At 46.9% G+C, this 16,796-nt stretch overlaps 1 protein-coding gene across 1 annotated transcript in view; it reads left to right on the top strand.

Annotated features, from left to right (window-relative positions):
* Positions 1-6,702: 6,702 nt before the first annotated feature.
* CCNJL (cyclin J like) overlaps positions 6,703-16,796 on the top strand; it is a 90,488-nt gene continuing 80,394 nt past the window's right edge. Inside the window, exon 1 of the transcript NR_131769.2 lies at positions 6,703-6,828. The gene's annotated coding sequence lies outside the window, so the exon portion shown is untranslated. The remainder of the gene's footprint in view (positions 6,829-16,796) is intronic.

Raw genomic sequence — 16,796 nt, 5'->3', positions numbered from 1 at the left:
CTCAGCCTCCTGAGAAGCTGGAACTATAGACCTGTGCCACCACACACGGCTAATTTTTAAATTATTTGTAGAGACGGAGGTCTTGCTATGTTGCCCAGGCTGGTCTCAAACTCCTGGCCTCAAATGATCCTCCCACCTCAGCCTCCGCAAAGTGCTGGGATTACAGGTATGAGCTAGCGCACCTGGCAGAAATAATTTTTTTTAAGATGGAATCTTGCTCTGTCGCCCAGGCTAGAGTGCAGTGGCGCAATCTCAATTTACTGCAACCCGTGCCTCCCTGGTTCAAACGATTCTTGTGCCTCAGCCTCCCGAGTAGCTGAGATTACAGGCGCCCTACCAACACGGCTGGCTAGTTTATTTTTTTATTTTTTTATTTTTAGTAGAGACGGGGGTTTCACCATGTTGGCCAGGCTGGTCTCGAACTCCTGACCTCAAATGATCCACCCGCCTCAGCCTTCCAAAGTTTTGGGATTATAGGAGTGAGCCACCACCCCCGGCCAGAAATATTTTAATACAATATTTTAATAAATCAAAAATAACCCAAAAACTCTATGATAAACAAAATATCAGAATGTTAAGTAAAGATGAGATCTGACAGGGCCGGGATCAGGGCGAGGTAAGGGAGGGCGAGTCATGGAAGAGCAGCTGGATCCTGGTGTCCATCCGCAGCTCGGGAGCCCTTGGCAGCCAGGCCTCGCAGGTGAAAAGGCTTTTTTTCCCTCCTGCCTGTCATCTTCACTCAGGCCACTAGGGGGAGAACGTCGACTACACAAACCTCCCGGCCTGCGGCATGGAGGCTGGGAGATACACCCTGGTCTCAGGCTATTTTCTAGATTGCCTGCCAGAAAGCAGGTTGTTGTTCAGTCCATTGAAGGTCTCTTTCAATTCAGCAGACGTGTCCTGAGCACTCACTGAGGCAAGGCTGAAGAATGCACCCGGGGTCCCCAAACCAGGTGAGGAGTCAGATCTATCTGGCACCACAACCTCATTCAGCAGCCGAACCTCCTGCGGGGACAGCTTCCATGCGCTTTCATAAAAGCTCCTCAGCCGATTCTAACCCACAGCCGGCTTTGCCAAGCTCTGGGCCGGGCTGAGGGGAAAACTAACACAGGAAAGACTCGAGTTCTGCCCTTCAAGGGAGGACATTTTGTGTGCCTCCCTTGTCCCGGTGTCATTTCCACAGCTGTCCTCAGGCCGGGGTGGCACTGAGAATGGAGCACAGTGTGGGTTTGAAGGTCACCTCGCAGGCCCAGCTCCTCAACCACAGCATCTGAGGGTGCTCCCGAAGACCTCTGTGGCTTCCCAACACTTTTCTCTCCCTGCTCCAGAGACGGAGACCCAAAAAGAATTTCTCCGAAAGAGGCCGGGCACGGTGTCTCACGCCTGTAATCCCAGCACTTTGGGAGGCCGAGGTGAGTGGATCATTTGAGGTCAGGAGTTCGAGACCAGCCTGGCCAACATGATGAAACCCTGTCTCTACTAAAAATACAAAAAAAAAAAAAAAAAATTAGCCGGGCATGGTGACGGGTGCCTGTAATCCCAGCTACTCGGGAGGCTGAGGCACTAAAATTGTTTGAACCCAGGAGGCGGAGGTTATGGTGAACCAAGATTGTGCCACTGCACTCCAGCCTAGGCAACAGAGTGAGACTCCGTTTCAAAAAAAAAAAAAAGAATTTCTCAGAAAGAGCCCAAAGATGGCTCTGGAAAATGGTGGGGTTTGTTTTTTTATTTTTTATTTTTTAAACATTCTCCATCTACTTTATACTTTTGCCTCAGATTGGCCCTGACTTAAAAACAATAATGAAGAGTTCAACCTCATCACAGGTGTTTATTTTTGCTGATGCCGTTGCAAACTTCCGACAGTCATTTATCTCCACCCCAAGTGGGTTTCAAGCTGATGCTGACAGCGGTCCGAAATGGCTTCCTCGTGTGAAATGTCCATATTCTATTTGGGGCTCTCTTATCCCATAAAACACACTTAATGTGTGAGCTTCAAGACATGGAGATCAAGGGCCTCAGAGGTGAAAGGCTAACGGGGCATTAATCCTCAACCTCCTCAGTTTCCTGTCACTTGGCAGAACTAGATGGGCAAATCACTTTTGAAAAGCTCCTCATTCCCTGATGTTGAGTCTGGTTCTAGGCATCCTACAACCTGAAACCGAGGAGGGTGTGGAGGGTCTAGAAGTGCCACCTGCCGTAGGAGTGTTGGCTGTTCAACCTTGAGGAGAGAAGACTGGGAGTCCTGGTGAGACTGTCAGGGAGTAGCACTGGTGGAGTAACAGCAGAGCTGAAGGGCAAGTGGGAGTTGGCAAGGGAAGCTGGATGGAGAGGGCTTTCCAGGGAGGGGCATGGCAGGCAAAGGCCCCGTGGTGGGGCAGGGCATGACACAGGAGAGGAATCAAAGAAGCCCCTCCCCAGGTCATGGGGGCAAAGTGTGCAAGGGGAGAAGATGAGGGGGCAGAGCCCAGACCTTGAAGGCTGATAGGTCAAACTAAAGATGGCTATCTTGACCATGAGAATAACAGGAAACCACAGAATGATTTTAAGGGGGCAAGTGACATAAGCAGACTTGGGTTTTGAGAAGACCACTCTTGCAGCTATAGGAGAAACATTTCAACTTACCCTATAGAAGAGCTTTCATTTTGTTTGTTGGTTGGTTTGTTTGTTTTGAGATAGAGTCTTGTTCTGTCGCCCAGGCTGGAGTGCAGTGGTGCCATCTTGGCTCACTGCAACCTCTGCCTCCAGGGTTCAAGCGATTCTTCTGCCTTAGCCTCCTGAGTAGCTGGAATTACAGGCACCCGCCACTACACCTGGTGAATTTTTGTATTTTTAGTAGAGATGGGGTTTCACCATGTTGGCCAGGCTGGTCTCGAACTCCTGACCTCAGGTAATCCACCCACCTGGGCCTCCCACAGTGCTGGGATTACAGGTATGATCCACGTCGCTCGGCCCAGAAGAGCTTTCTAATAGAATGCTAGACCTTGGGAAAGTAATAACAATAAAAACTAACATTTACTGAGTTCTTACTAGGAATGAAACACTGTGTGCTTTTCATGGATTAATACGTTTGGCCTTGAGAACAACATGTAAGGTAGGTGTATTACGATGATCCACTTTCCACAGATGAAGAAATAGAGGCTAGAAGAGGTTCAGAAAGTTGACTGAGGTTACCCAGTTGGAGAAGTTGCACAGCAGGAGCTCAAATCCAAGTCCTTCAGACCTCAGAGGTCATGGTCATAATGACTACAGCCCTCTGACATCCAGGCTGCCAGGGACCACAACTCTGGTTCTAACCGTGGTTGCACCTGGGTGGAGTGGTAAGACTTCTAATCCTGTCTCCCACCCACCAAGTGACTCTAATGCAATTAGTCTGGAGTACAGCCTGGACATTGGGAATTTTTGGAAACTCCCCAGCTGAGTCTGTGGTGCAGCCACATTGAGACTCATAGGCAGATAGCTCGTAAAACACTTGAGAGAGCTGTTGCAGGGAATAGCCATCTCTCTGGCTGGACTCAGTGATCTCTGAGTTCCCTTCTAGCTTGGATTTTTTTTTGACTTTATGATTCACCAGTTCTGCTGCCAGAAGGCTTTCTCCAAGGTGACTGAATTTCTGGAACTGACAGATGGAGCCTGAGGGACCTTGGTAATACTGTGTCAGCTCCCGTGGCCAGTCAGGGAGAGCAGAGTCTTCAGGGCTGTATCTCCGCACCCTGCCCACCATCTTCCCTCTGACGCAGACCAAGCCTGCAGACCAGTGAGAGGAGAAGAAATGAAGTCAGCTGACCCACAGTTGGCACTGCCAGGACTGGATGCTGCTGGCTGTTGGCCAGGATCTGATCCACTCCTTTGAGAGTGTCAGGAGCTGTGGAAGGTATGGGGTGGGGGGCGGGGTTCCTCCCAAGGCAAAGTTCCTGTGGAGGTCAGATGAGACTGAGCTTGAGAACTGAGTTATGAAAAAAACCTCAAGGAACATCCTTCACCTGCCCTCTATGGCTCCTTAGCTTCTTGAGGTTCTGCTGCTCAGAGCCTAGTGTGATAAATAACCTCTTTCTCTTTAGCCACCTGGTCTCCTGTCACTTGAAGGGGTGGCAAGCTCATTCCCCACTCCAGGCCTTTGTACTTGCTGGTTGACCAAACTGTGATGCATCCATACCATGATATACCACTCAGCAATAAAAAGAAACAAACTATTGATACACTGAAACAACCTAGATGAAAAATTATAAAAAGTAGTCATCCCTTTTGGCCCCAAATCCCAACTTGAAGAAGGGAAATGCTGAATACGTAAAAGACGAGTTATTGAAATAAATGCTGTCAAAGGACAAAATTTTGACAAATTTAAAGATCTTAATTGGCTTTTATTTGCAATTCTAGAATCAGGCAATACCTCATATTCCGTAAACCAGAATGAGTGTTCCTAGAATCGGAGCAGAGAATGTTGGTTTTATAGACCTAAAAGGGCTGAGGAAAGCAGAAACAGAAAGCAAAAAGCGGATGGGTTGCTTCAAAGTTACTTTCCTTGTGAAGGTTAAAGAAGAGAGGACTTCCTTATCATACCAGCTAAAACTAGCTTGTTTAGAAATTTGGCTATTGTCTCTCCTGATTTCTGGGAAGGTCAGATAAACAACTTAGTTTTGGCTGGGTGACACGGAACTTCAGCATGACTGATCCCATTTTGGTTTATTCAGTTGGGCCTAACGCAGGAGTTCAGTCTAAACCAATGGCCTCCTACACATTTTATTTAACAGCACTTACTGAGGACCTTTATATGCCAGGCTCTGTTCTGGGCCCTGGAGATAAAGCAGTGAACAAGACAGAGAAGGATTCCTGCCTTCGTGGAACTTACATTCTAATACAGAGACTGGCAATAAACCAAGTAAACATAAAATAAAATGGGGTTAGATGGTCAAAGTGCTACGGAGAGAAAATAAAGTAGGGGAGAAAATGGGGGTGCTGGTTAAGGGTGGATTACAGCTTTATGGGGGTGGTTAGGGAAGCTGTTACTGCAAAGGCAACATTTGAGTACAGTCCTTTTAGAAAGTGAGATGAGAATATATGAGGGTAGGGGTGGAAGGTAGCAGGGAGCATTTCAGGCAGTGGAAATATCTGAACCTGAAGCAAGAGTAAGCCTGGTGGGTTGAAGGAATAGCCAAGAGGCCACCATGGCTAGAGTCCTTGGTCAGAGAGATCATGGATGGCATTTATGGACCATTGACCTGACGGTGGTCCCTGGAGTTTTGCTGTTGTCTTTTTTTTTTTTTTTTTTTAAGATGGAGTCTTGCTCTGTCGCCCAGGCTGGAGTGCAGTGATCTTGGCTCCCCGCAACCTCCACCTCCCGTGTTCAAGTAATTCTCCTGCCTCAGCCTCCTGAGTAGCTGGGATTACAGGCACCTGCCACCATGTCCAGATAATTTTTGTCCTTTTTGTAGAGAAGGGGTTTTGCCATGTTGCCCAGGCTGGTCTCAAACTCCAGACCTCAAGTGATCCACCCACCTCAGCCTCCCAAAGTGCTGGGATTACAGGGCATGAGCCACCTTGCCCAGCCCCCTGGAGTGTCTTGTACAATAAAACACTCACATGTAAACAGGAAATAAATGTGAACTCAAGATCCCCCTGCAGAGATGCTGATTGTGTGGGTCAGAATCTGACCTTGTCCTGAAGTAGGTTTCATAGTGAGTAACAAGAAAAGGGGGGCAGGGTAGGAAACAGCTCAAGAGAAATGCATATCTCTGAACAAACTATAAATAAGAAATAATCCCCCAGAGTAGGATGGGGATGCTTTTCCTGGGCTTTTTCTGCTCAGGTTCGGTGAGGTGATGGTGGAGATCTTAGCAACACACAGGAGTAGGAAGTGGAACATCCTCACTCAGGCTGCAGCCCTTCTCACTTGCCCTCATCGGCCCTAGGGTCCAGACACTCCGAAATGCTTTACAGACAACCCCACACTTTAACAAATTGAATCCTCACAGCAACCTCATGAGCCAGGTCCTGTCTTCTTTGTTACATTTTAAATCAACACCATGTAAAAGAAATGCTTTCAATTTTAAAATTTGTCTGTTAAAAGACCCTTCAAATGGATTAATTTATTAATTAAGACACATTCTCAATAGCAGAAATGCCAAAAAATCAATAATAGGATTGAGGAAATTGCAAATGGGCATCCATTTCATAGATAATGAAATTGAGGCTCCTGCAGTTGGAATTAAACCATCAGGGGCTTGAACCTGAAACTGTTCCAGCCCCAACTCCCTCATTTTAATAACTGGCAACTCCATCCACCCAGGTGCTCGGCTCAAAAATGTAGAAATAATTCCCTCCACCACAGCGTTGTCACAGAGGGTTTGTCTTAGTCCTAAATTAGCGGGACCTTGAATTGGCAGATGGCACCTCCTACTATAACTCCCATCTGTTGATTTCTTGATCCATGGCCCAGCTCGTGAATTTTGCTGATGTGTTTTAATCTTTCGAATATATGTGATTTTGACATTCTCCTTATTAACATCTCTATTTGTATGAACATAAAAATAAAATGTTTTTCTCAGCCAAATCTTTGAATCATATTGAAGCTTGAGGAAAATGGGCCGTGGCCTTGAGTACCTGGAACACGCTGATAAAGTTGATCCATTTGGTTGTGTGTTTCCAATTAGTCAACCACAGCTTGCAACTTGGCAGATATGAGTAACAGATGAAAAAACACTTTCTGTGTCAGCACTAATGGATAACTGAAAGCAAGTCGACAAAGATTTGGAAAATGAGGCATACGTCTAAAAGAAAACCACAATATTATGAGGCTGAAATGGTACTGAAATATTACAAACACTTGGAGGAGTAAGTAAATCTTAATGTATTTAAATTGAAGAACGTGTTTGGATGTGTTTTGGGGTTTTGGCGTTTTTTTTTGTTTTTTTTTTTTGTTTTGCATGTTGCTCATTATATAGAGTTACAAAGTGATAATCACTTTCACTCTGGCAATTATACATTTGATTTGTTTATACCATACATATATATATATAAATTATATATATATGCACATTTCTTAAGTATTATCCATGTCTTGGATTTTATTGCTCTATCTTCAAAGCCATCTCTTGTTTATAGAGATTGAGGTTTAATTGCAAGTGCTAGGCTAGAGCATGGCACTGTGGTTAATTTTGCCAGGTCTTTTTGAGGTTTAAGAGTAGTTTTAGCCTGGGTGCGGTGGCTCATGCCTGGAATCCCAGCACTTTGGGAGTCCGAGGTGGGTGGATCACAAGGTCAGGAGTTCGAGACCGGCCTGGCCAACAGGGTGAAACCCCATCTCTACTAAATACAAAAATTTGCCGGGCATGGTGGCAGGTGCCTATAATCCCAGCTGCTCAGGAGGCTGAGGCAGGAGAATCGCTTGGACCCGGAGGTAGAAGTGGCAATGAGCTGAGATCGCGCCACTGCACTCCAGTCTGGGTGACAGAGCCAGACTTAGTCTCAAAAAAAAAGAAGAAGAAGAGTAGTTTTAGTATACCTAGGATGAATACAGTTACTGAGCTTTTAAAATGTGCCAGGCCCTATGGTAAGTGCTTTATACGCATTACCTAAGTCCTTCTTACCCATCTGAGATCTCATGGGCCAAGATTATAATCATTCCCTTATACAAATAGCCCTTACATTCTTGCCCTTTTCTCTCATCATTCTTTCCTAGCAAAACCTTAATCCAGCCAAACCCAATCCTTCTCTTTCTTAATTCTGTGAATAAAAGTTCTCTAAAAAGGAATTTGGAGGAAACAGGCTTTATTTCAGTGAACAGTTTACAAACCAAGGGGACACAGCCTTTAGTGTAAAATGAAGATACGTTCCAGAGACAAAGAGAAGGTTTGGCTTTTTTTGGGGGGTGGGGGAGTTGAGGGGGACAGGGTCTCACTCTGTCACCCAGGTCGGAGTGCAGTGGCGTGATCTCAGCTCACTGCAACCTTCTCTGGGCTCAAGATTCTCCCGCCTCAGCCTCCCAAATAGCTCAGACTACAGGCCCATGCCACCACACCCAGTTAGCTTTTTTGTGTTTTTTTGTAGAGACGGGGTTTCACCATGTTACCCAGGGTGGCTTCCAACTTCTGGGCTCAAATGACCCACCCGCCTTGGCCTCCCAAAGTGCTGGGACTACAGGAGTGAGCCAGGTTTAGCTTTTATAGAAAAAGTTCCCACATAGGTTTCCAATCAAACATGTTTATGCAAATGAAGGATTCAAACTTGCTTAGTTCTGAATTGTTGATACAGCTGAGTTCTGCTTGATTGATACAGCTGAGCCCTGATTGGCTGAAGTAGGTGAGCTCTGGTTGGTTGAGGTGAGCCCTGAAAGTCCCAAAATTAAACGGAGGTGAGGGGTGTTTGCAGAACTCAGAGTATGTGTGTGATCTGTAGTCAGCAAATGGTCATTTGGCTCTATTTTAAATTTAGGCCCAGTTAGCCACTCAGGATCTATCTTGAAGGATTGGTTCTTTCAGGTTCACATTTGTTCACAATTCACTCATTTCCAACTAAATATTAAGAAGAACACGTAACTGTGCTGATTGGGCCTACTTTCAATTCATGCCTACAAATCTCCAATGGCACAAAATGTAACCTGGCAACATTTTGTTGGAAGGAGCTCTACCAGCTCCTTCCCAACCCCCGACATTCTCAATGCAACGTCCCTAAGGTGGGAGTCAACATGGTTGGCTCAAGGAGCAGAGTAACAGGAAGAGAGTGGCAGGTGATGACCTCAGAAAGGTTACAAGCACCCAGATCATGTAGGGCCCTGCAGAACTGGTAACCACTTGGCTTTTATGCTGAGTGAGACGTGAAATAATTGGAGGGCTTTGAGCAGATGCGCGATGAAGTCTGGTTTCAATTATAACAGCATTCCTCCAGCTACTATTTGAGAATAGACTGTGAGGGGCAATGACAAAAGAGGGAGACAGGAGATTAGTTTAATAATCCCAGCAGCCAAGTTCGGTGGCTTACACCTGTAATCCCAGCACTTTGGGAGGCGAGGCGAGACAGAAGGATCTTTTCAGCCCAGGAGTTCAAGACCAGCCTGGGCAACATGGTGAAAACCTGTCTCTACACCCTAAAAAAAAAAAAAATCAAAAATTTGCCGGGCATGGTGGTACGTGCCTGTAGCCCCAGCTACTCAGAAGGCTGAGGTGGGAGGATTGCTTGAGCCCAGGAGGCAGAGGCTGCAGTAGTCCATGATCGTGCCACTGCTCTCCAAGCTGGGCAACAGAGCTAGACCCTGTCAAAAAAAAAAAAAAAAAAAAGAAAGAAAAAGAAAGAAGGAAGGAAGGGAGGGAGGGAGGAAAAAAAAAATCCCAGCAAGGGATGATGGGAGCTTGGCCCCAAGTGGTTGCAGGAAAGAGGTAAGAAACGATGTAATTTTGGCCGTCTTTGGAGATAGAGCCAACAGGTTTCACTGAGTATTTGGATGTGGCCTGTGACGGAAAGTGAAGGGTCAACACTGACATAAAGGTTTTTGCCTGAGCAACTTTAAGGCTGGAATTGCCCTTCACCAGGATGGGAAACACTGCTCCTGGGAGGAGTGGGAGGAGCAGGCTCTGTGGATGGGAGCAGGAGGTGAGTAAATAGAGTTTGTTTTGAGAAACATTGTGTCAGAGATGTCTATAAAACATCTGTGTAAGTTTCCTAGAGCTGCCATAACAGATTACCACAAACTGTGGCTTAAAACAACAGAAATGGATTCTCCCACAGTTCTGGAACCCAGAGTCTGACATCTACATGTCAGCAGCAGGGCCGCGCTTACTCTGAAGGATCTTGGTTGGATTCTGTTCCTTGCCTCTTCCAGCTTCTGGTGGCCATCAGCATTCCTTGACTTGCAGCTGCATTGCTGCAGTCTCTGCCTCCTTGGTCACACAGCCTTCTCCTCTTCTGAGTGGTTCTCCTCTCTTTGTGTCTTATAAGAACACTTCTATTTGACTTAGGGACCCTCTTAGAGATCTTCTCACCTCAAGACCCTTAATTACATCTGCAAAGACCCTTTTTCCAAATAAGGCCACATTCACAGGTTCCAGACATTTGATGTAGACATATTCTTTTGAGGACTGTCATCAACAACTAAGTTGAGATGGCAAATGGGTAGTTGAATGTATGAGTCTGGAGTTCAGAGAAGAGTTCTGGACTGACGATATAAATTTAGAAGTCCTCAGTCTATAGATGGCTTTTAAGCCATGGTTCTAGAGAGATCACAAGGGGGAAGAATTCAAATAAAGAAGGGGAGAGTCTGAAGACTGAGTCCTGGGACACTCTGGTATTTGGATTGTGGACGATGAGGAGGACTGAAAAGTAAGTGGTTGCTACAGAGCTAGAAGAGAATCAAGAGACTGTGATGCTGGAAACCAAAGATACTGTTAAAAAGAGCAAGGGGTCTGGGTGTAGTGTCTCATGCCTGTAATTCTAGCACTTTGGGAAGCTGAAGCGGGAGGATCACTTGAAGCCAGGAATTTGAGAATGGCTTGGACAACAAAGCAAAACATTGTTTCTACAAAAAAAAAAAAAAATTTCAAAAAAAAAAATTAGACATGATGGCATTTGTCTATAGTCCCAGCTATCTGAGAGGCTGAGGCAGGAGGATCTCTTGAGCCCAGGAGTTCAAAGGCTGCAGCGAGCTATGATCACGCCACTGCACTCCAGCTTGGGCAACAGAGACCCCATCTCAAAAAAAAGAGAAAGAAAGAAAGACGAAGGAATGATCAACCATATCAGATGATGCAGACTAAGTGTTGACCATTGGCTTTAGCAAGATGGAGATCAGAGACCTTGAAAGAGCATTTTGGGTGGAGGAATGGAGGCAAAACATGCCCAGGCAAGAGACAATAGGAAGCTGTACTCTAGCAACTTTCTTGTGGATTCTTTGGGATTTTCTGTATATAAAAATATATAAATTCTATATATCCAGGTACATAAAAATATAGATATATAAATAGATCATAAACTATATAGTCTACATTATATATAAACAGATATATTAAAATGTAATTTTTCTTTTAGATGGAGTCTCGCTCTCTTGCCCAGGCTGGAGTACAGTGGCATGATCTCTGCTCACTGCAACCTCTGCCTGCCAGGTTCAAGTGATTCTCCTGCCTCAGCCTCCCCAGTAGCTGGGATTACAGGCGCATGCCACCACACCTGACTAATTGCTGTATTTTTAGTAGAGATGGGATTTCACCATGTTGGCCAGGCTGGTCTCAAACTTCTGACCTCAAGTGATCTGCCCACCTTGGCCTCCCAAAGTACTGGGATTAGAGGCATGAGCCACTGTGCCCGGCCAAAATGTATAATCTATATATAAAACATTAGGACACAGTCGTGATGGTTGCACAACAGTGTGAATGTAATTAATGTCACTGAACTGTACAGCAGCACCGCCTGGGCAGTTGTTGGAAAGGCTCATCATCAGCCCACATTTTCTTGTCATGGATTTGGAAGCCCAGAGAATGGGGTCCAGCCATCTGTTCTTAACAAACCCTCCAGGTGGATCTGATGCCAGGTCTCATGTGAGAAGGCTGGCCAAAGGAATTGTGGGAGAAATGCTCGACAACAGCGGTGTGTGAAGTTCATGGATCCCGAGAGGCCAGTGTAGTGGTCCTGAGTATCAATTCTGGGGCTGAATTGCCGGTTCTGTTCTAATTCCTCCACCCAGCTGTGTGATCTTGGACAAGTCTCTTAACCTTTCTGTGCTTCAGTTTTCTCATCTTGAAATGAGGATGATAATAGTAGTATCTCATAAGGTTGTCGTGAGGATTAAATGACTTACTGTATGTCAGGCACCTATAATGGTACCTTGCCCATGGAGAGCACTATGAGAATAGCTATTGTGATTGATTTAAAGTGAGGCCATCGGCATGGATTTGTATCATTTTATTGTGCCCTCTGGTTGCGCAGGTGCTGAGTAGGTGGAATGTTGCCTTTGATAAGGGCTGGGTTTTTGCTGGGTAAAAATCATGAATCGAGAGTAGGCAGCCTAGTGGAGATTGTGTACAACCAAAGGATTTAATGGTGAGCCATGGAATCTGCACTGTGTGTAGCACGGGCATGACAGCGGTGGGCGAGGCAGTGAAAAGGTGGAGGGATCAATGGATGGAGGACCCAATGGAGTAGGGTGGTTGCTGAAGTTGGGGTGCCTGAGGGGTGAGCTGGCAAGACAGTGTTGTTGGTCACAGCATGCGATTCCTGAAATGGATGGTTTGCAATTATCAGTAACAACAGAGTCTGAGTTTTGGCCACAGAGTAAGTGGCTGAGTTAGGGTGGAGAATACGATTGTTGGATAGGACTTTAAGGAACTGAAAAACCTGGGTCTTGGATGAATCATCTACCAAGACAGCAAAATCACCAAGAATTCTGATGAAGCAATGTTGGAATTGCAACAGCAAGGCACCAACTCAGCTCTTCTAGGAGTGAGGGGAAAACCCTGGGGGTCCACAGGATACAGGGGCAAGATGGACTAGTCTGATGATGTGAATTGCTAAGCAAGGGGGCGTAGAGAAGGGAAGGAGAGTGGCTTGGGTGTGGTGATGGGGAGCAGGGGTCACCACCTTCCGCTTGGTCCTCTTGGTACAAGGGGAGAGGGACAGAAAACAACTCCACCTAAGGGGATTATAGTGGAAGCTTGTTCTCTTAGCTAGAGGGAAAATAGAAAGGGATTTTTTTTTTTTTTTGGAGACAGGGTCTCACTCTGTTACCCAGGCTGGAGTGCAGTGGTGTGATCATGGGTGACTGCAGCCTTGACCTCCTAGGCTCAAACAATCCTTCTACCTCAGCCTTCTGAGTAGCTGGGACTACAGGTGCACACTGCCATGCCTGGCTACTTTTTAAAAAAATTTTTGGGCTGGGCACGGTGGCTCATGCCTGTAATCCCAGCACTTTGGGAGGCTGAAGTGGGCAGATAACGAGGTCAGGAGATCAAGACCATCCAGGCTAACACGGTGAAACCCCATCTCTACTAAAATATACAAAAAAATTAGCCGGGCGTGGTGGCGGGTGCCTGTAGTCCTAGCTACTCGGGAGGCGGAGGCAGGAGAATGGCGTGAACCTGGGAGGCGGAGCTTGCAATGAGCCGAGAGCGTGCCACTGCACTCCAGCCTGGGCGACAGAGCGAGACTCCATCTCAAAAAAAAAAAAAAAATTTGTAGAGACTGGGTAGTCATATGTTGGCCAGGCCAGTCTCAAACTCCTGAGCTCAAGCAATCCTGCTGTTTTGGCATCCCAAAGTGCTGGGATTACAGATGTGAGCCACCATGCCCAGCGGAGGAAGAGAATCGTTGATGAGGTTGATGGTCTTAATTCACTGATCCACTTCTATGCCTGGCACTCAGCTGGGCACTGCGATGGAGAAGAAAAGTGTAAGATATTTCTGCCATCATGGACTTTATGCTCCACCCAGGAGACAGAGAGTAAACAAGATTTTAAAAGCCAAATATGTAGTCTATTAGATAGTGCTAAGGACTAGGAGAAAAAAAAAAGCAGAGAAGACATATGGAAGGGTCAGTAGTTGAAACTATAATAGGTGGCTGGGAAAAGCCCCCCTGCTAAGATGACATGGAGTAAAAACTTGAAGGATATTGGAGAGCTGGCTGTACAGATATGTGGGGCTGGGAAGAACGGCAAGTGTGGAGGCCCTGAGGTGGGAGCATGCCCAGAATGTCTGAGGACAAGCAAGAGGCCAGTGTGGTGGGAGCAGGTGGACAGGGTGGGGACCGTGGGAGAAGATGAGGTCAGACAGGTTAACAAAGGTGTAGGCAGATCACACAGGGCCCTGTAGGTATAGGCCTTTACTCTGAGTGAGATGAAGAATCACTGAGGGGTTTTGGGCAAAGGAAGAATGTGAATTGCATTTTGATGGAGTCATTCTGGCTGGGCAAAGTTGGGGAGAGGGGCAAGGGCAGATGTAAGGCGACTGGTTAGGGAGCTTTTGCCACTATCCAGTGGAGAGTTGGTGGCAGCTTGGACCAGGGAAGTCGTGGGGCCTGGTTTTAAGGCCAGATGGCCAGTGTGTCCTCAATAAAAGAAAGCAGGCAGCATGTGTGGGTACAGGTGCAGTAAGAGGAGGCAGAGGTGTGGTGTGGGAGCTTGTGGAAGTTCCTCTGATTTTTCCTATGTTCTTAGTGTATAAGGAAGCTAGCTGAATGTGAGGAGGGGTGAGGAAGTATTAGACGTCAGCAGGGAGAAGAGATGGCATGAAATATTCATCTTGGAGAGAGGGAGGGGAAACAGATTCTAGCAATGGTATATACTGGGGCCCATGCATCAGACTCACCAGAGGCTTGGTTAAAGTAGAGTGCTGGGCCCACCCCCAGAGTATTATGATTGAGTAGCTCTGACATGGGGTCTGAGAATTTGCATTTCTAACAAGTTCCCAGATGATGCTGATGCTGCTGGTTCAGGGACCATCCTTGAGACCCACCAGACAAGAGAAATATAGTAGGCTTGCTCAGCCAAATGGAAAACCCATTTGTGCTTAATGATGGTGACTTTACTGGAAGGCCATTAGTATGGCTGTGTTTCTGTCCCATCACGGTCAGTGCACAGGATCTGGTGCAGAACAGGCAGCTGTATTGAACCTGGGTTGAAGGTTGACCAAGTGGATGCTGCAAGTTATGAGAAAGTCAAGAGGGTTAAGGGTAGATGCAAATGATTGATTCCACTGATTGACTTTGGAATGGAATCTGGAAAAGGTGAGAAGAGAGGAGGTGAGACAGCAGAGAGGAGATAAGATCCAGGGCTTCGGGCTGGGCACGGTGGCTCACGCCTGTAATCCCAGGACTTTGGGAGGCTGAGGCAGGCGGATCACGAGGTCAGGAGATGAAGACCATCCTGGCTAACACAGTGAAACCCTGTCCCTACTAAAAATACAAAAAAATTAGCCGGGCGTGGTGGTGGGCACCTGTAGTCCCAGCTACTTGGGAGGCTGAGGCAGGAGAATGGTGTGAACCCGGGAGGCAGAGCTTGCAGTGAGCCAAGATCACGCCACCGCACTCCAGCCTGGGCGACAGAGCAAGACTCCATCTCACAAAAAAAAAAAAAAAAAGAAAGAAAGAAAGAAAAGAAAAGATTCAGGGCTTCAAGGATAACTGGGGTCTGGGTCCTAGTGAGGGTGAGCTGGAAAGATGGCAAGTGATAAGTGGTGAGTGGTCGAGGAGTTATTGGACGCTGAGACCATGGATGGTGCAAGACCATCACAAGGAACAGCTGAGGTGAGATGGAAGACAGGGGATTAGAGGACAGGGGATCAGAGTCTCAGAAGGTCCATCTATCTGTTTGGATATTGAAAACACTGAGAATTAAGACAGGAGCAGTGGGCCGGGCACAGTGGCTCACGCCTATAATCCCAGCACTTTGGGAGGCCAAGGTGGGCAGATCAGAGTTCGAGACTAGCCCGGCCAACATGGTGAAACCCCATTTCTACTAAAAATACAAAAATTAGCCAGGCATGATGGCGCATGCCTGTAATCCCAGCTACTTGGGAGGCTGAGGCAGGAGAACTGCTTGAACCCAGGAGGAGGAGGTTGCAGTTAGCCGAGACCGCACCACTGCACTCCAGCCTGGGTAACAGAGGGAGACTCTGTCTCAAAAAAAAAAAGAAAAGAAAAGACAGGAGCAGTGTTAGAGAGAGTGATCATGAGCCAGGAGCTAAAATCCTCAAGCAATCAGGGGTGACCTGGTGGCCAGGAGGTGCACTTTGAAGACATGAGGTTTAAAGCCTGAAGGTTTTACAGGAACAATGATGGAGAAGAGAATGGCAGTGACAAGGGGGAGCCGAGAGGAGAGAGGAGCCCACGACACCTTTAGGCCCATGGTGCGGAGGCGGCAGGAAGTGAACACAGCCACCACTTAAGGCAGCTGAGCTCTCAGGGAGAGCCAGGGTCTGTTCCATCTGTGGTTCTTGACCCAGCCACAAATTAGAAACACCTGGGGAATTTTGAGAACATGCCAATACCTGGATGCCACAATCTGAAATTTTATTTTATTGGTCTGGTGAGGAGCCTGGACTTCAGGATGTTTTTAAGCCCTTGAGGTGATATGAATGTGCAGCCCAGGAATGAGAGTAAGAAGATCAAGGGGACCCTGAGAGATTTGGACCAGGGTCCAGAACAGAGTGGCAGGTTTCAGGAGACAGGGTCAGAATTGGGGACAATGGCAAGGCGGGACATGAGGATTCAAATCTGAAGGAGCAAGGGGAGACCTGAGCTTCTATAGTAACAGACATGAAGAAGGCTCAGGTGCCTCACTGTGGTCTCAAGGCAGGTCATGGTGATGAGTCTGTGTTGGAAAGAGGCAGGGGTGGGGGTCTTGCCAGGAGCAAAGAGAGGGTGGTGGTCTCTCCATAACCACAGTGGTGATGTGGAGGACAGCGGACGGGTGTCCTAACAATACCTGTCTCAAAGAATGAAATGTCAACAAATTGAGTTTCAAAGATTTAATTGGCTTTTATTAGCAATTCATGAATTGGACAGATCCCATCTGCAAAATAGAAAGGTGTTCCAATGAGCTGAGCAGAGGTGGTGGGCTTTATAGGCAGAAAAAGGCTGAAGAAAGTAGAAACAAGGATCAAAAAGCAGATGGGTCATTTCCAAGTTACTTTCCTTAGAGGGTTAAAGAAGAGGCCGGGCGTAGTGGCTCACACCTGTAATCCCAGCACTTTGGGAGGCCAAGGTGGGTGGGTCATGAGGTCAGGAGATCGAGATCATCCTGGCTAACACGGTGAAACCCCATCTCTACTAAAAATACAAAAAATTAGCCGGCGTGGTGGTGGGCGCCTGTAGTGCCAGCTACT

Source organism: Homo sapiens, chromosome 5, assembly GCF_000001405.40.
Source record: "Homo sapiens chromosome 5, GRCh38.p14 Primary Assembly".
Classification (NCBI taxonomy): domain Eukaryota; kingdom Metazoa; phylum Chordata; class Mammalia; order Primates; family Hominidae; genus Homo; species Homo sapiens.
Note: the sequence above shows the minus strand (reverse complement) of the source record. Positions and strands in the feature narration are given on the sequence as shown.